This window comes from Homo sapiens, chromosome 12 (genome assembly GCF_000001405.40).
Source record: "Homo sapiens chromosome 12, GRCh38.p14 Primary Assembly".
NCBI classification, from domain to species: Eukaryota; Metazoa; Chordata; class Mammalia; order Primates; family Hominidae; genus Homo; species Homo sapiens.
In genome coordinates this window covers 62,770,003-62,789,125 of record NC_000012.12, presented here as the reverse complement: position 1 = coordinate 62,789,125, position 19,123 = coordinate 62,770,003, and the positions used below count along the sequence as shown (strand labels likewise).

The 19,123-nt window shown below is 43.5% G+C and overlaps 1 protein-coding gene across 3 annotated transcripts in view, besides 1 other annotated feature; it reads left to right on the top strand.

The window, feature by feature from the left end:
- Nucleotides 1–19,123, top strand: part of PPM1H (protein phosphatase, Mg2+/Mn2+ dependent 1H) — a 291,157-nt gene that overhangs the window by 146,025 nt on the left and 126,009 nt on the right. For all 3 annotated transcript variants that reach the window (NM_020700.2, XM_011538578.3, XM_017019676.3), the window contains exon 4: nt 788–900. In NM_020700.2, the coding sequence (NP_065751.1) occupies nt 788–900 (113 nt within the window). The remainder of the gene's footprint in view (nt 1–787; nt 901–19,123) is intronic.
- Nucleotides 2,829–2,938: a silencer, noted in NCBI's record as "silent region_4610". NCBI's record gives its function as "represses an Ori minimal core promoter by ATAC-STARR-seq in GM12878 lymphoblastoid cells {active_cell/tissue: GM12878}" and the evidence as "EXISTENCE:reporter gene assay evidence [ECO:0000049][PMID:35858748]".

Below are 19,123 nucleotides of genomic sequence, written 5' to 3'. Positions count from 1 at the left end.
GCAGGAGGCTTGAGCCCAGGAGGTCAAGGCTGCAGTGAGCTATGATCATACCACTGCACTCCAGCCTGGGTGACAGAGCAAACCTTCTCTAAAAAGACAAGGCTGGGCGCAGTGGCTCATGCCTGTAATCCCAGCACTTTGGGAGGCCGAGGCAGGCAGATTGCTTCAGCACAGGAGTTCGAGACCAGCCTGGACAATGTGGCAAGACCCCATCTCTACAAAAAATACAAAAATTAGCCGGGCATGGTGGTGCGCACCTGTGGTCCCAGGTACTCGGAAGGCTGAGGTGGGAGGATTGCTTGAGCCTGGGAAGCACAGGTTGCAGTGAGCCAAGATTGGGCCACTGCACTCTAGCCTGGGTGACAGAGCCAGATCCTGTCTTCAAAAAACAAACAAAACATTGATCAGGTCCAAGTACTTGTCATCCTCAGCCTCTCTAGTGTATGTTTCACATGGTAGCTCATGCAATCCACAAAGACTAAATTTTCCATAAGCTGTGATATTTACTGAATACAACTTACATTTTATTTGCATTTTTGTCTGATTGTTTCTGTTTGCTGTCTATTGTTTCCTGTCTCTGGTTCACAGATGGTCTAATATGTGGCAGTTTTATGCCAGTGTCCTCTCCAGAAATGCTCATCAGGTGGTAGGAAAGCAAGCACTAAAGATTTTTCTAGTCCCTTCTTGAAGCACATTCAGAGTCTGGGGACTGTCAAGAGAATGAAAGTGAGAAAGCTTTTGCTACACATCCTGCACAATCCAACACTAACTCTGTTTTATTCTCCAGGACCTACAGATAGAACGAGAGAGGAGTTCATATAATATATCTGGTGGCTGCACGGCCCTCATTGTGATTTGCCTTTTGGGGAAGCTGTATGTTGCAAATGCTGGGGATAGCAGGTAAGCAGATGAGCTGTCTGATTCTTGCTAATTTCTAATGCCTTCTGATGTTTTTATTTTGTCTCAAAAATTAAATGATTAGAAATAATTAAAGACAGGCCTTCTACATCAGAATGAAAATGCATTTAAGGACAATCAGGTTGATATTACAAGGTAAAGGCAGTCTCTTACTTATGCATATAGCATTTCATGTACACGTCTGTGATAAATCTAAACCAGTAGTATTCAAACGTTTTTTGACTTCAGAATCTGTTTCTCAGTGAAAACTTAGCAGGAGCATAATATGTGAGAGTGATGAGGAGGAAGGAAAGGGATTCGAGTGCCCTGGGTGTTTGGAAGGGGGCCTGGGATGACTCCCCAGTTGACTCCACTTTTACTTAGTGACTTTGCACTGTTCTCTCCCAGAAGCTTCTCCTTTTATGCACATTCCCTTAGAAGCTGCAGTTGCCTCACGTCCGGGTTCAACTGAAGGAAATTTGAGCCAAGAGATCATTGTTAACCCTTCCTTTATCCAGCATTGCCAGGGAATAAGATACATTTATGTTTTTATTTCATTTATTTTTTAAAAATTAGACACAGGGTCTCACTATGTTGCCCAAGCTAGACCCAAATTCCTGGGCTCAAACAATCCTCCCACCTCAGCAGCCTGAGTAGCTGGGATTACAGGTTGCACCACCACCTGGCAGTTGTGATTTTCTTTTAAATAACTGATGCTTCTTCACTTTTGGTGTGGGGAATTTTTAAATTACAGATTTTGCAACAAATATTCTAACATGTATTACACACTTCTCCACCGCTTTCATAACGAAATATGCTGGCCTGAGAGTGGGGCCTTTTCCAAAGAACTGACTCTTTATTCCGAAAGTAGTAAAAGTACAGGACTCTTCCCCCCGAAGGGCTGTGAGGACTCTCATTCTTCTGTCCCCTTCCTCTAGGTCACATGGCTCTTGTGGGCTCTCCTGCTTGCTCCACCCTTTTTGAGGTCTGATCCCACCCCTTCCCTTTCCCCTTCCCTGTCTCCAGCTTAAGTTGCTGTTGCCTCTGCAGCCCAGACCACCAATTCCCTTGAGGCAATCAAGAAATTCACCTTAATTTTACTTCCATTTACAAAGCAGACTTAGGCTGAGGCAGCCTTCGTTCCTCCTAGTAAAGCGTCCTTTCCAAGGGAAGATCCCAGAGAACAAGGAGCAAACCGACCTGGCAGTGGTTTTGGGGGCTTGAAGATTGGTGTTTGTTGAAGGTCTGTTGCTTTCAAAAGTATATATGTGGTGACATAAACGTATATATATACATTTTACAACAAATATTCTAACGTGTATTACATGAAATGTAATTACATGTTCTAACATGAAAGAGGTGGAGAAGTGTGTAATACATGTTGTAAAAATGTATATATTTACGTTTCCTTGTAAAATTCTGCCCAGTAAATGGAAGTATGTGTAAGATGCTATCTATGTTTACCCCATGGCTGCCATTCCCATGTCTCAGGTCAGGGTTCTGACAGGAGACAGACTCCAACTCAGATGGGTCAACTGTGAATGAAGGAGGTAGAGAGAACCGGCCAGGAGTGTTGAGGTCCCCAGGAAGGAGTTGACCACCCTGAGGAACCAGGGAAGGAAACGCTGTAGCAGAGCCAAGGAGAGTGGGAGCCACTAATGAGGGACCACTGGGCAGGAGCTGTTAGAAGGAATGGGAGAAGATATGCTGACTTCTCTCTGCCCGCCCTCCCATCTCTTGCCTGACCTTCCCATCGGCTGACCCCAGCAGGAAGCCAGCTGATGAGTGGCCCAGGGAGGTCAGCCTGCCAGGACACAGACACAGGCCAGGGCCGTACCTCCAGGATGGGGACAGATGGAAAAGAACCAGCACATCTGCTACCCCTCCTTTCCTCTCCCGCCTCAGGGTTTGAGCAGCTTCAAAGACAGGAATCTATGGTCTTCAGGGGCTTTTAAAACACACTGAGTGGCCAGCCCCTGGCCTCTTGTTCAGTTCCTGATCTTGAGCTGGTCGGTAGACAGAGGAGAGCAGCAAAGGAGGCAATTCATTGCTCTTTGTCTGCTCCAATTGAGTAAGACCGAGTGGATGATTCAGCTGTTGCACTCACGTTCACCTTTTAAAGCCTTTATGTCTGGTTTCCTGTCCTTTAAAATGAGTTTGCTTCCTGGCCCACTCAGGGACTAAGGAAGTGACTGAGTGCCTTGCTCCTGGAAACAGGCCCACCCTACCTCCCAGGGAAGTGCCTTTCACCAGATGACCTGAGTCAGAAGTTAACTCAACTTCCCGGCTGGAATACCTTTATGTTAGACTGTTCTTCGAGACTCAACTCCTCCCCAGTGCCTTTTTCTCTCTTTTTTTTTTTTTTTTCCTCATTTTTAAACGTAGTTTCCTTCAAAGCTCCAGGCTCCTTAAAAGAGCCACCTACCTAGCCAGGGCTTCTAAGCCTGCATCCCAGAAGCTCCAGTCCTCTGTCCTGGAATCTGCCAGTCCCAAGAGTTCATCTTCTGGGCTCTTGCCTTCTGTTGTACTTAGGTGCCAATTTCCAGACCAGACTTCAATTTCATCTATAAAGGCAGTGGTATTGGACTAGATAATCTCTAAAAATTATCCCATGAGGAGTGACACTTTTAGAAAGTAAAGTTGTACTATAAAGTATCTTTTGGTTATTTTATATTTCTTAGAATTTGTTTTGGAAATGTTAATGTAACTGAAGTTCTTGTATTTCTAAGTGTTCATAAAAGTATGATGTTTTGGCCGGGCGTGGTGGTTCACGCCTATAATCCCAGCACTTTGGGAGGCCAAGGCGGGCGGATCATGAGGTCAGGAGATCGAGACCATCCTGGACAATATGGTGAAACCCCATCTCCACTAAAAATACAAAAAAAATGAGCGGGTGTGGCGGCACACGCCGGTAGTCCCGGCTACCTGGGAGGCTGAGGCAGGAGAATCACTTGAACATGGGAGGCAGAGGTTGCAGTGAGCCAAGATTGTGCCACTGCACTCCAGCCTGGGCAACACAGCAAGGCTCCGTCTCCAAAAAAAAAAAGTGTTTTGTTTTACATGTTATATCTAATCATTTGAAAAGCCTAACAGATACTTTTATCCTTAATAAAGCTGTAAAACATTTAAAAAAAAATCAAAAAAGCAGTATCTCTAAAACCTAATAAGCTTAATGATAAAATACTACCTCTAAAACCTCATAAGCTTAATTATGCTTACAGTATTCTAGTCCCAGTATCCAGATATAAATTTGGGGTTTTGTAGTTGATTATTTGGGTTTTCTGTTCACATATGGGTCATACTTCAGGAAACCTGAGAACAATGTGAGTTGGTATTTTTATGTGCTATCCAAAGGATCGTTTATGCGACACTTACTAGAGTGCTATTTGCAGCTCTTTTACAAACAATAGATACTGATATCATCTTCTAGGATTGTTGTCTAGTTTGCCATACTAATAATATAGGTATTTGAGCTTACAGAAATATTCAGTTATTCCCAAGAAACCACAGCTAAGTGAGCTTTGATCATATCTGTGGAAATGTAGGTCCATTATCACTGATTGACGAGCAGTCAGGAATCCCAGGGCTCAGTTTAAAACAAATGCTTAGAGCCGCAGAAGGTTCTGGCAACAGAGCCCTGATTAATGAAGGGCTAAGTTTTCTTTATTGCTAGATATTAGCTGTCATGTGCTTTTTTTTTACATCTTGACAGTTTCGAGAGTAAAAAATATTTGTTATATGTTCACTGCCCCCATAATTATTCACGCTCAGGAAAAGAGAAGCTTTGCCCTGGTTTGATTTGGAAGCTGCCAATGGTCAGGAACTAAGCTGTGTATCATCTGATTTACCATCAGACATCTGCACACTTAGGGGTTGTATTCAGGAAATGTTGCCTGATGCTGTTTGTGGCTTTATGGGTTTTTGAGTCAACGACCATCCCATTCAGAGGACATAGGACCATTCATGTAGGATGGTCCACAGTGACGCGAGTACCTGATCCATGTGGTCTGGTCCGTGCCCTGATAGAACTTGCCCTTCTACTCTGCCGAGCTAACCAGCCACAGAGGCACATGCAGTAACTGCTTGATGCATGCCAGTTGCTTTATTTTTCCCCGGCAGAGTCAGCCAACTCAACACCTAGGGGATCATAAGGGACCAGGAAAGAAGCAGATGGTGGGCGGATTTTCACTTCAAGCAAAAAATGAACCAGTAGCATGCAAATGTCATGCAAAGCAATATGCAAACTATCACCCATTGTGTTTGAGTCATCAGCTCCTTAGGGCTCTGACTGATTCTTCAGTTTAGGAACTCCATTTTAGAGATCATTTCATTTCATCTCTAGAGAACTAAGGCACTGAGGAAGCAAAGCCATTACCACGTATTTTAAACAATGTCTAAAGGTTTAGCAACTGAGACTGGGTGAAGTCACTCAGAGTTTTAAAAAGCATTTAAGATTTATTAAATTCATAATTCTACTCTTGCCAGACTTATAGTAATAGCGGCATTAAAATAGCTAATAAGTGCAAGGCACGTATTAAATACTATAACAAAGGATCACATTTAATTTTCTCAATAATATAGTGAGAAGTAGGCACTGTTAATACGAGTTAAATACAATTTACCAATAAATAAACTGAGGCCCAGTGAGGGGAACTGGTTTCCCCAGGCTTCGACAGCTGTGGAGGAGCAGGGACACCACCCGCCCAAGACTGGGAGTTCGATCTTGTCCACAATCTCTGCACTGTACCCTGGGATTTCCCATCCATGCTGAAACTCACAGAGGTTTTGTTTTTCTCATTTTAGCATCTCTAAATAAAGAAGTTCTAATTAACATTTTTTTCTTCCTGCTTTTATGTGAAATAGTGGCACACCTTATAATCAATGGCATCTTAGTTTTCACCTAAAATGGATTATGGAGGGAGTGGAAGGCTGCCTTAGAGGCTATTTTAAACGCACTGCAGTTGTTGACAAGATAAGCTTTGGATGGTCCAATTCATTCATTTATAATATAGAAAAGGAGTGTTTTCTCAACATGAGAGCTCCCATCTCCTTCCAAGCGTCCCAAAGTTCTAAGACTATTTTAAATGTTGTGTTTTTGGCCGAGTGCAGTGGCTCATGCCTGCAATCCCAGCACTTTGGGAGGCCGAGGTGGGAGGATTACTTGAGCCTAAGAGTTGCAGACCAGCCTGGGCAACATGGCAAAACCCCATCTTTACAAAAATATATATATACATTAGCTGGGTGTAGTGGCTCACACCTATAATCCCAGCTACTCAGGAGGCTGAGGTGGGCAGATCACCTGAGCCCAGAGATGTCAAGGCTGCAGTGAGCCGTGATCACACCACTGCACTCCAGCCTGGGTGTCAGAGTAAGACCCTGTCTCAAAAAATTAAAATTAAAAATAAATGTTGTGTTTTCATTTTGATCATAATCTATTGAAAATAATATAAGCATTTTCTGATTCTATAAATGATTACTACCACAAATTCAGACTTCCATTTTGTTGTGCTTATAACTTCTTTGGAAGCAAGTGTCTCACTAAGTTTTTGAATTGAGCCCACAGACTCCTGGGAATAGAGGGTCATCTTCTCATGCTTGAGAGTCTCCTAGGAAAGGGTAGGGAAAGTCGAATGTGTCATTCATTAGCTCTTTAGGACCGGAGTGAATAGCATTCCATGAATTGTCACTGAACGAAGCCAGTGATGGTTTCCTTTCATTTATCTTTCACTCCTTTTTAGTTTTCCACAATTACCCCCCTTTACAGTTAAAGCTTTCTCTATTAGTTCAAAGGTGAGTTCCTTTGACAAGTCTGACTGTTCCTGAGGACAGGAGTTAGGTATTAAACAGGACTTACGTTCCTAAATTCAAAATCAATTACACATCTGTGGCATCTTCTCTCCAGGTTTCTTCCCTTTGCTGGTGGTAAAATAATGAAATATTATGTAACTGCCTCCAAGCCAAGGGAATGCAAAGAACTATTCATTTCTTCTTATGTTCATGGATTTCACCAACGGCCAGTACAAATCCTTTCTGAAACTCCTTTTTGCTAATAAGTGGTTCATCTATCCACACGTGCCAGTGAGCTCCTGCTCTGTTAGTAGCCTTCCTCTGAGTTCAGAAATATATTTGATCTTAAGCCATTAACTATATTAAATACACTATTCCTCTCACTTTCTTTGGCATGTATTTGAAAAATAACAGAAAAAAAACAAAATCAACAACTCTTCTCCACTGTGAAAGTTGAATTGCTGTTTCTCCCTTTTTTCTGCAGAGCCCCCTCCCCATCTTTTTAGTGTGTATTTCATGTAATCCCTTAGCTATACCCATAACCTCTAGAAGGGATTAGCAGAAAGAAAATAATGCTACCAAATGATCACAAATACAGGCAGAGACACAGAAACCAAGTGATGGCTCAAAACAGTCTGTACTTTTCCCATCAGGCCACTTGCCATCCACACAGAGGGCACCCGAGAGGCCCTTCTCTCTCTGACCTTCCTCTCTCAGGTACTTCTTGCTCTGAATCAGTGATCTTCAAAGTGTGATCCCCAAACTGGCAGCAGCATCACCTGGGAACTTGTTAGGAGAGCAGATCACTGCTCGCTGAAACTCAGTGGGTGGACCCAGCAGTCTGTGTTTAGCAAGTCCTACAGGTGACTCCAATGCATGCTCAAGTTTAAGAATCACCACTCTAAAGTCTACCCCTGGGCATCTGAAAGAGCTAGGAAGGATTGAAACATTTTAGCTGTTCCTGGCCTGAGGGCCAAAGCGTTAGACTGCAGGCACACTATAAGGCAGTCTCAGCAGTCCTGCAGCAGCCGGACACCACACGCAGGGCAAGCTCCTGGAACCCGTGTCTCCCCTTCCACTCTGCAGCCTGCTACCTGCAGTGGGGCGGGGGCGACCTGCCTGTACCTGGGCCGGCTGACTGCAGATTCCTTTCTGCCAGCCTGACATCCTAGAACTTAGGCCCTGTTCCTCTGAAGAGTAGAGTTGGGTGAGAATTTCTAACATGATCCAGCTCCACATGTCAGCCTCCTCTTCCTGCTGGGTAGTTCTGAGGCCTGAGTAGCTGTGAAGCATCCTATCCTATCCCGGCCTCCATTCCCTTGTCTGGAATGGGTCAGACATGCCCCCGTGCGGACTTTTCGTCTGTCATTGTTGGGCCCCTGGGAAAGTGTAGTTGTAGTTCCCCATTCCAACCAAGCTGTGCCTTGAAACACGTCCCGTGTCTCTTACACACTGAAAGGCTAAGCTGGGAAGTCTCATGAAGTTCATAGAAGTAGAATATTTGCACTTAGAAATGCTGGCGTGAGATTATTGTGATCGAGATAGTCACCTTTTCTATGCCTGGCTGCTGAGCTAGGGTAGAACAGTGGATCAGTGCCAGGAGGAAACTTTGTAGTAGAGAACCCAAGGCCCTGTGTTTGCCCACTCGAGCCCACACCAGGATAGATTTCCAGGGCCTGATCATCTAATGTGTAGGTGATATGAAACCGAGTAAGACAAACTAGCAAGATTCAAAAAGTCCTTTAGTGCCTGGGAAAGTGGGTAAATACCAGGTGAAGCTTAACCACAGTAAAGGTAAAGTATCACACCTGTTGAAAAGAGAAAAACCAGCCTGGCAGTCAGTTACGGTGGCTCATGTCTGTAATCCCAGCACTTTAGGAGGCCAAGGCAGGAAGATCATTTGAGCCCAGGACTTAAAGACCAACCTGGGCAACAAAGTGAGACCTTGTCTCTATTAACAAATTTTTGTTTCAATTAGTTGGGCATGGTGGCACATGCCTGTGGTCCCAGCTACTCAGGAGGCTGAGGCAGGAGGACCACTTGAGCTTGGGAGGTTGGGCTGCAGTGTGCCATGATTGCACCAATGCATTCTAGCCTGGGTGACAGAGTGAGACCCTGTCACCAAAAAAAAGAAAGAAAACTAGCAGGATAGGGGAGACAGCTTATCAATGGTTCACATTTTTTTAAATGTATTTAAGTAGACAGTAAATTTAATCTGGTCAGTAGTGTGATATAGACACCAGAACCTAATCTGATCATAGGCTGCAGTATTTAAGCTATAAGGCAAATAATAGCTAATGTTTCTGACTGGCTGGCTTACTTTGTCCATAGTAAGTACTGTTGCTAGTGTCTAGGGCTTTACATGAATTTTACATAAATAACCTCATTAATCCTAACATCAACCCATTTGGGGAAGTACTATTAATGTCATTTTACCCATGAAGTCCCTTTCTAGGTGACATAATTCAACATGTGTATAGATGATCAGGAACCTTCAAAAGAGAGACTGGAGTGCTGAAGAGATTGGAATTATGTTTGAAAAGATGAGGAAAATTCAAAAGAGCTAAAGTTTCTCAGCCACATGAAAAGATAACTTTTGTTGATGTAAAAGATCAAATATTTGTCAGTTATGGGGTAAGGTGGTAAGGCTAGCTGTCCATGAGCCTGGGATAGAAGTGATAGCCACAGGCAGGCAGGATGGTGGTTAAGAGCAGGGACTCTGGACTCAGATGGCCTGAGCTGAATCCTGGCTCTGCCACTATTGTGTGTGACCTTGAGCCAATCTCATGTTTTCTGTACTGAGTGTTGTCAACTGTAAATGGAGATAATGATAGTACTCACTCCTCAGGTGAGGATTAGATGAGCAGATGCCTGGAAGGCCTTCAGCACAGAGCCAGGTGTATGGCAACTGCTCAGTAATAGTTAGCTGCTATTATTGTTATCATACTGATCAGGAGAACTGTTTATAGATGCAACAAGCCGCTGAAGAATGTAGTGGGTTCTTCTTAATGGAAATAGTTGTGCATCAACTGCATTCTACCTAGCAAGGATGTTGTGCTAAGTTTTTCAAGGTGTCCATGAAATATTATGTTTGAGGCCCTGTGCAGTGGCTCACGCCTGTAATCCCAGCACTTTGGGAGGCCGAGGCAGGCAGATCACAAGGTCAGGAGTTCGAGACCAGCTGGGCCAACATGGTGAAACCCCGTCTCTACTAAAAAAATATATATATTACAAAAATTAGCCAGGCATGGTGGCGTGGGCCTGTAATCCCAGCTACTTGGAAGGCTGAGGCAGGAGAATTGCTTGAACTCGGGAGGTGGAAGTTGCAGTGAGCAGAGATCACGCCACTGCACTCCAGCCTGGGTGACAGAGCAAGACCTCATCTCAAAAAAAAAGCAAAAAACAACAAACAAAAAGAAATATTATGTCTTTCTTTCTTTTTCTTTCTTCCTTCCTTCCTTTCCTTCCCTTTCTTCCTTTCTTTTCTTTTCTTTCCTTTTTCCTTTCCTTTCGAGACAGAGTCTTACTCTGTCACAAGGCTGGAGTGCAGTAGCATGGTCATAGCTCACTGCAGCCTCAAACTCCTTGGCTCAAGCCATCTTCCCATGTCAGCCTCCTGAGTAGCTAGGATTACAGGTGCGTGCCACCATGCCAAGCTAATTTTTATTTTTTGTAGAGATGGGGTCTCACTATACTGGACCTGTGCTCAAGCCATCCTCTTGCCTCGCCTCCCAAAGTGTTAGGATTATAGGCATGAACCATCACACCCAGCAAAGCATTATGTTTCTGTGACTTTGAGGATCTTAAGTAACATGACTATTTTCATTTTTGTCTCTTTCCTTTAAGAGTTTAATGAAGCAGTGCCTTTGTCCCTTTCAGGCACTCGAGGACCTAGGCCGAAGGAGGCTCTGTCATTTTTAACTCTTGGCTTCCAAGAGCTCTTGAGGCATCTCCATCCAGTGAGACAGAAGGGGACAAGAGTGTGGAGGAGCACTCAAGAAAGGGTGTTAGGGGCAAGGCCTGGTAGAGACACACAACATTTCTGGGTGCATTCCATTGGCTAGAACCCAGTTATGTGACTTTACTGAGAAGCAAAGAAGGCTGCTGGGAAATGTAGTCTAAGTCGTGTACCCAGGCCCAAGGGAATTGATTTTGGTGGACAGTTAGCAGTTTTGGCCAGCAGTGGCATTGAAAAGGGAATTCATATTAGGTTCAATTAGTAATAGTGTCTTCATTCAGTTTTTGATACATTTTCCCTTTTGTTCTGATGAAGTTACAACTTGGATATCACTATCATTTTTAAAGTCCAAAGACCAATTACCTCTTTTGTTACCTGAATTTTGTCACTGTTAGTTTTAGGAGAGATGCAGTAAGTTCAGCTTTAGCTGTCAAACATAGTGAAGAAAGAGGTTTCTGAGTAGCTAGGATTACAGGTGCGTGCCACCATGCCAAGCTAATTTTTATTTTTCTTCTCCAAGATCCACTTTCATCTTGGAGAAGAACACATTTGAATAATGAAAAAGCCTACAAGTAAACAGCATACCAAATATTTGTCTTTGGAAAGTTCATCATAGAAAGCAAAGATTATTTCATTGCTAAAGGAGAAAGATTACATTAATCAGGCAGGGTGTGACTATACTGATGTTTTAACAACTTCTGTTCTTTGGTGGTTATTTTTAAATTGTCATAGTTATGTTGTAAAGATTTTTAAATGATATACCAGTTCAGTTTAATAGTTTCGTTTCTTATCTGCTCTCAAACTGCAGTTCTTTGGTATGTTTTTTGAGTTCATTTCCTCCCATTGCTGTCATCCTTAATATAAGATTTGAAATAACTGTTAGGAATGGATTACTTATATATACACCTCAATCCATCCTCGGTTTGCATATGATAAACTTTTACAGTTCATCGTGCATATATTACATAGTTAGAAGATAAAGTATAAGCAGAGTAAAATGTCATGGTAGGAGCAGGATTCAATGAATATTTTTATGCCTTCCATGAGCCAGGCATCTGCTGGGCACTGTGCTGGGGAAGCTACCGTGAAGTAGGCAGATGAGGTCTCTGTCCTCTTCTACTTGTAGTCAGCCCAGGTAGGCAGGCAGTCAGGCATCCATTTACAATGCAGTGTAACAGGCAAGGCAGGTGTTTCAGGAGACACATGAAGCTCTGGGCTTTACTGAGTGAAGGCTGCCTTGGGTTAAAGGCACACATTTGTAATCATGTTCTTTGGCCGCAGAAATAGCAATGCTGGTACACTGCATCAACAGAATTGCCTCACAGGTCAGAATCCATTGCAGCAGAGTTCTACAGGCTAAGCCCTGTGCTTTATTATTTCACAGTGTCATTGTGGTTGTGAATAGTGCTTCAATGTTTGGCACTTGGGGTCATTTTGTGATATAAATGTTGGATGGGATCATACTCGTTTTTGTGAAATATAACCCTCATTGAGCCACCATCAACAGACAATGGTTTATGAAGGTCTTGTTTCCTGAAGGGATGTTGATGTTCACTGAGCAGTCCTTACTGGTGTGTGGTGTACAGTTATCAAATGATTTGTTTGCTTCAAGGAGTTAACTGAACAATATGGGCATTTCACCTTCAACTCTATCCTGTCTTGTTTAAGCAAGGTAATAAACTCTCCAGGCCCAAATATGGTTTAGCTGTTAGTACAGGAAGGGAGGGAGAAACATGTCAGCCCTTGGAAGTGAGCCAGGGTTGTGGGAGGTAGAGTGTTGAAATGGGATGATCACAGGTGCTAGGGTCTGGAAATGCTGGCCCTCACCCCTCCAGAAAATACCTTGCTTTCCCATTTGTGGAAGGGGCTGGTTCCTGCTCTTCTAGATTGCCATGCAGATTACAGATGATGTGCTTAAAGCACAAGTATGGTTCAGCCCTTCATTCTTTCACCAAATATGCCTCATGCCAGACACTGTCAAAGTCACTAGGAACGTAGCTATGATCAAAAAAACCCTGCCTTCATGGAGCTTGCAAACCAGTATGGAAAGACAGATAATGAGCAAGGCACATAAGTAAAATGTTGAGTATGCTATTGGTAATAATTTCTAAAGAGAAACATAGGGCAAGGGAAGGGACTTAGTAGTCAGGGGTGGGTTGCAGTTTCAAATGCGACAGCAAGGGAAAGAGTCATGGGGGATAGAGTCTTAGAGTAAGGTCTGAAGGAGGTGAGGCAAAATGTTCTGGCAGATGAAACAGCCAAGGCCTTTGATATGATTTGGCTGTGTCCCCACCCAAATCTCATCTTGAATTGTAGTTCCTATAACATACTCCCACGTATCATGGGAGGGGACCAGGTGGGAGGTAACTGAGTCGTGGGGGAGTATTTTTCCCATGCTGTTCTCATGATAGAGAGTAAGTCTCGTGTGGTCTGATAGTTTCATAAAGGGCAGTTTCCTTCACATGCTCTCTTGCCTGCCATCAAGTAAGACGTGCCTTTGTACCTCCTTCACCCTCTGCCATGATTGTGAGGCCTCCCCAGCCATGTGGAACTGTGAGTCGATTAAACCTCTTTTTCTTTATAAATTACCCAGTCTTGGGTATGTCTTTTTAGCAGCATGAGAACAGACTAATACAGCCTTGAACCAGGAATGTACCTTTTATAGTTGAGGACCAGATAGAAATGGACCAAAGAAAGAGGGGGTAGTAGGTGAGGCAGAGGAGGTGCAAACAGGGCCCAGGCATGCTCAGTGGCAGCTAGTGCTGCAGTGACCATGGCAATGGCCATGAGGTCTGAGCTTGAACTCTCCTCTCTTGCTTGACTCTTATAATAACCAAGAGGGTGTGTGTGTATGTGTGTGTGTGTACACACTCATTTATATATAATATTCATTTTTAAAGCCTTCGTTCCATCTTGCCTACCAAGGCGTAAGTAATTTTGTAAATTCATAAACAGTTGGATCTATGTAAGGCCTTAAAAACCATCTTGTAAAGTGGTTTGTATACATTAAGCAGTGGGTCCATTGTTGGTACGCTTTCTGGTAGAATCTTACACAAATTCTCCTGTGTATAAACAAACAAGGTAGAGCTGCCCAGACTAAACTCTAGAACAAGGCTGAGGTTCACACCAGCTCCCTTTTCCCAAGGTGGCACCTGGGGCTGCTCTGAGGGACTGTGAAGCCCCCTGAACTCGGTCTGAGGCTGACTTCTGGTCCAGAGGCTGCCGGACTTGCCTGTACATCAGAATCACCTGGGGGACTTTGCCAACATATATAATAATTGAGTCACTCTTGTACACCTACTACCTAGATCCTGCAATTAGCAATTTTCATCAAATGTATCTATCCATCCTCCCGTCCCTCTATCAATCCAGCGCAGACATTCATGTATTCACCTGTGGGATTTAAAAAATAACAGTAATGAAAGTTGCAGGGCCCCTATTCTCAGGCTTACTGAATCAGAATCCTTGAGCTTGGGGCCACTGTGGGAACCACTCATCTAGTCCAGTTTCCCTTTTTTACTGATAAGGGAAGTGAAGCTCACAGAATTGTCTTTCTCAAGTTCCCACAGATAGCCGGCGGCAGAACTCGTACCAGAACCTGGATCGCCACCTGTTTTTGGAGGACCTACCTCCTCCGTTTCTGAGATTTTGCTTGTGATCCGCTTAGCAACATCAGTTCTTTCTAAGATCAGATAATACTCTGGACCTACTCTTTATCCATGAACAGTTTGCTGAGCCTCTGCTATTTTAGGGGATTGCTAAGAATGTATTTTCTCCTTGGTCAAAACTTTCAATCATTATTGGGGAAAAAAGGAGTATAACTACAGAGACAGATGTTTCCTGGCTGGACATGGTGGCTCATACCCATAATCCCACCACTTTGGGAGGCTGAAGCAGGAGAATAATTTGAGTCCAGGAGTTTGAAATCAGTCTGGGCAACATGATGAGATCCCATCTCTACCAAAAATTTAAAAATTAGCCAGATGTGGTGGCACACACCTGTAGTCCCAGCTACTGAGGGGGCTGAGGTGGGAGGATCGCTTGAGCCCAGGAGGCTGAGGCTGCAATGAACCTTGATCACGCCACTGCACTCCAGCCTGACAAAAATATCTCAAAAAAGGAAAGAAAGAAAGGTTTCCAGAGTACAGGTGTGTGTCTTTGCTCTTAGCTGCCTCATTGAGACAGCAATGGAAAAAACACTGGGCTGGGAGTCCAGAGATTAATCACAATCTTGTCCCGTAGCAAACTGCATAACAGTTGGAAATCCACTTCACTCTCTGAGCCGGTTTCCTGCTTTAAAGAACAAGTGGAGTTAACAGGATCTTACTAATTGATTTCAAGGGTGTTTTCCAGCTCTGAAATTTGGGAACCATTAACTTAGTATCCAGCCAGAGACTGACCTGCCTCTATTATTTACTCTATCAAAGTAACTCTTTTGTCAGACATATCACTTAGGTTTGGGGGGGAATGCTGGTCAGCTCAGCTTCCTGGACTCCTGCAGGCTATGATCCATTTTCTTCCCTTCAATCTTGTTAGGTTAGGCATAGATGGCAGAAGACAGGTAAGATGCTCCAAACCTAGAGCATAAAGAAAATTTTCAGTTGCCAGCTCCAGTGGGACTTGGTTCCCCCTGAGAGCTGTGCTTCAGCAGTTTCCCGAAATCTAAGCTTCCCAGGAAGCCCCCACCCTGCTCCTGATGTTCCTCTCTGTAGCTTCAGAAGAACTGTACGGCACTGACCTTTGAGTTCCTTCTGGCTCTCAGAGGTCCCAGTCAGCAGGCTGCAGACACAGTGTCTGCCACTTGGATGTTAAGGTTGCCTCTCTCACTCTTCAAAGCCCAACCCTTCAAGAAATGAGTTGAACTAGCAGCTCATGGTTTAGTGGCTGCATGTGGGCCTAAGTGGTGACTACCACCTTTCCCTTGATATTACATCCTGCCCTTCAATGTGAGAAGTGGATTCTTTCATCCCTTTATTTTTCAAAAAAATTTTTATTAAAAAAAATTTTTAGAGACAGGGTTTGAGTCTGTCACCCAGGCTGGAGTGTACTGGTGTAATCATGGCTCACTGCAGCCTTGACCTCCCAAGTTCAAGTGATCCTTCCACCTCAGCCTCCCAAGTAGTTGGGATCACAGGCATGTGCCACCACACCTGGCTAATTTATTTTTATTTTTACAGAGATGGTTCTCCCTACATCACTTAGGCTGCTCTTGAACTGCTGGATTCAAGCAATCCTCCCACCTCAGCCTTCCAAAGTGCTGGAATTACAGGCCTAAGCCACGGCACCCAGGCTTCATGCCTTTGTGTTTTGTTTTGTTTTGTTTTGTTTTGTTTTTTTGAGACGGAGTCTCGCTCTGTCACCAGCCCAGGGTGCAGTGGCACCATCTCGGCTCACTACCACCTCCAACTCCCTGGTTCAAGCGATTCTCCTGCCTCAGCCTCCCGAGTAGCTGGAACTACAAGCGCGCGCCACCATGCCCAGCTAATTTTTGTATTTTTAGTAGAGACAGGGTTTCACCATGTTGGCCAGGATGGTCCCGATCTCTTGACCTCGTGATCCACCTGCCTCAGCCTCCCAAAGTGCTAGGATTACAGGCATGAGCCACCACACCCAGCCTATGACTTTGTTTTAAATACTTCCCACTCTTGGCGCCTCCCGCTACTACTGCCTGCCTGTCAGCTGACAGAGCCAACCAACCTGACTGGGATCAGTTTCCTGTCTCTAATCCTCCCCAGCCCTGCAGATTCCCTTTGACTCATCCCTCTGATACTTTCCCAAAGGAAAGTGGTTTTCCAGAATCCCTTCATAAGGGTTTTAGCACATCACAGATCTAGAGTTGCAGCTGGCACCACTTCCTCCTGTTATGGCCTGATATGGTTTTGATGGCCCTGGTTCAGTTCACCTTCACCCCTCAGACTAGGGGTGCTGCTCTTTCACTTAATGTTAGTCCCTTTTAGTAACCCAAACTTTATATGGGTTATGAAAAAAGATAGTATGAACATTTTAAAATTAGATACAAATCTAAAATAAAATTTTTAAAGAGTAAAGAAGGGAGACCCATAGCTAAAGTGCACAGTAGCTCTCTATGTGAAGGATGGCTCAGGACACAGAATGGGGCAATGGTTATGAGCATGCACTTGGAACTCACGTGGGCCTGAGTTTGAATTCTAGCCACACAACTTAGCAGAATGACTTTGGTCAAGGTAGAGGATCCTTCTAAAGTGTGTGAATAAAATAATAATAGCCTCCTTTGCAGAACTGTTATATTAATGAGAGGGTGCACAGAAGGCGTTCAGTGTGGTACCTGGCACATAGTAAGCACTTGCTACATGTTAGCTATTGTCATTATTAAAATAGAAATGCTAGGGGTTCACCAAAAGTATAGGGTTTGGAGTCAAATGGCCCAGGATTGAATCCTAATTCTATCACTTACTGTGCAACCTCCAGCCAGTTACTTAACCATTCTGTGCCCCAGTTACCTCGTCTGTAAATTAGGAATTCTAACAATCCCTATCCCTTTCAGTCATTGTGAGGATTAAATGAATTAATTCAACTCAGAAAATATTTGCATTCCTACTGTGTTCTGAGAACTGAAGGCTTAGTTAATAATGAAGACAAAAACCCCTGAGCCTCTGCCATTATGGAACTCACATTGTAACGGGGTGTGGGGAGGAATGGTGGCAAAATAAGTAAAACATAATTCATGCAAAAGCATTAAACATTATGTGTGAATCGAGTGCATTTGAAATGTTTATACAAGTGCTTGCCTGCCTTATGGAAAGCACCTAATAAATGCTAGTTATCAACAGTGATTATCAATATATTATTTCTGCCACTGCTACTACTGCAGATAGTAAATATATTTAAGTTTATAATAAATACATGATGCAAGGTGAAATATAATTTGCATTACAGTGTAGATGGCTTGCATATGAAAGGGCTACATGAACTTTTGGGCTGATGTAAAAGCATGTGGTGAACTTTTCTGATAGCGTTCCTGAGCTGCTTTAGGACTCCACTGTGTCATATAATTCATCTTAGCCAATATTGCTGCCAGATATTAGCTCTGGACCCTAGAACTGTATTCTTACCAGGTTAGATGTGGACAAGATGCTGAATTCAAGTCAGCACACTCCAAAGGCCCGTGTGTGTGTGTGTGTGTGTGTGTGTGTGTGTGTGTGTGTGTGTCTTCACAAAGTTTATAATGATAATTTAGTTGCTTTGGGACACACTGGGCAGCCTGTAATATTCTTTCCAGCTCTCGAATTTTGTGATTTTTTTTTTTTACCTAGTATTTTGGCAAGCAATGGTTGTCTCTAAGTAACACAGAAGAAGTCCTTTTTCAACAAAGCCTTTAAAAAGCCTCCCAGCTCTCAGGCATTCGAAAAACACAGTTGTGTGTGTGTGTGTGTGTGTGTGTGTGTGTGTGTGTGTGTGTCTTTTTCTTTTTCCTGCAAGACTTAGCTGTGAAGTCAAGGTCACTATTCCTAGGGAGCTCAGCTGCACAAGAAGCCTAGAGCTGCATTGCTGGGCCTGGAGCCTGCCCTGACCCTCTGTGCTGGACTGTGCTTTCCCACCCGGCTCCTGGACCCTTGCTTTTCTTTTCCAGTGGTATCCCAGGCAATAATAAAATGGCTTTTGAAATCGCAGAGTGGGAACGCTTTCCCTACTGTGGGCCACCAGGCCTGCCTGCAAAAATTGGATTCGTGCAATCCATTTTCACACTGATTCATCTCTCTGCTCGCTTTTCACTCCTGTTTTGCTGCTTTTCTGTGTCAAAGTTTTTGTATAATTGTTCCCCCACCACACCCTTGTCATGTTCTTTGTGATTCTGAGCTGGCAGGTCATCATTGCCACCAGCATTTCAAAGACACATGGTCCTTCCAAATGGACTGCACCAATTTCTCAATGTTAATAGATCATCTAAAAAAAAAAGCTGTATTATATACTTTCCAGACCCTTTGTTTAAATGAGACCTTACAACAGAGGCCCAGTATGTAAAACAGATAGGAACACTTGTGATGTAGAGCAGGTTATATACTGATTAATAGCACAGATTCTGGAGAAACAAAAGCTGGATTCAGGTCCTGGCTTCTGTGACTTATCATAGCGCTGTGGGACCTTGAACAAAATGCCTAACCTCTCTGTGCCTTCCTTATCAGGGAAATGGGGGAAATGGGGATAATAAGAGGCCTTATCTGTGATAAGGTTAGTAGAAGGATTAAATGATTCAAAGTGTGTAAAATGTTAAGCACAGTTCCTGGCATATAATAAATGCTCAATAAGTGTTTTATTACTATACCAATAACCATAATAATTATCATTAGTAATATTATCCCCCAGGTGGAAAAAAAATAAAAACTAGGGACCCCAATTTATTAAGCCAAAAAGGAAAAAAAAAAAAAGCTGAAAGTTGAGTCATGCAAGAAACTGCCTTTCCTTTTGTTCCTAAGCAAATAGCTGCAGATAAAAGGTTAAATA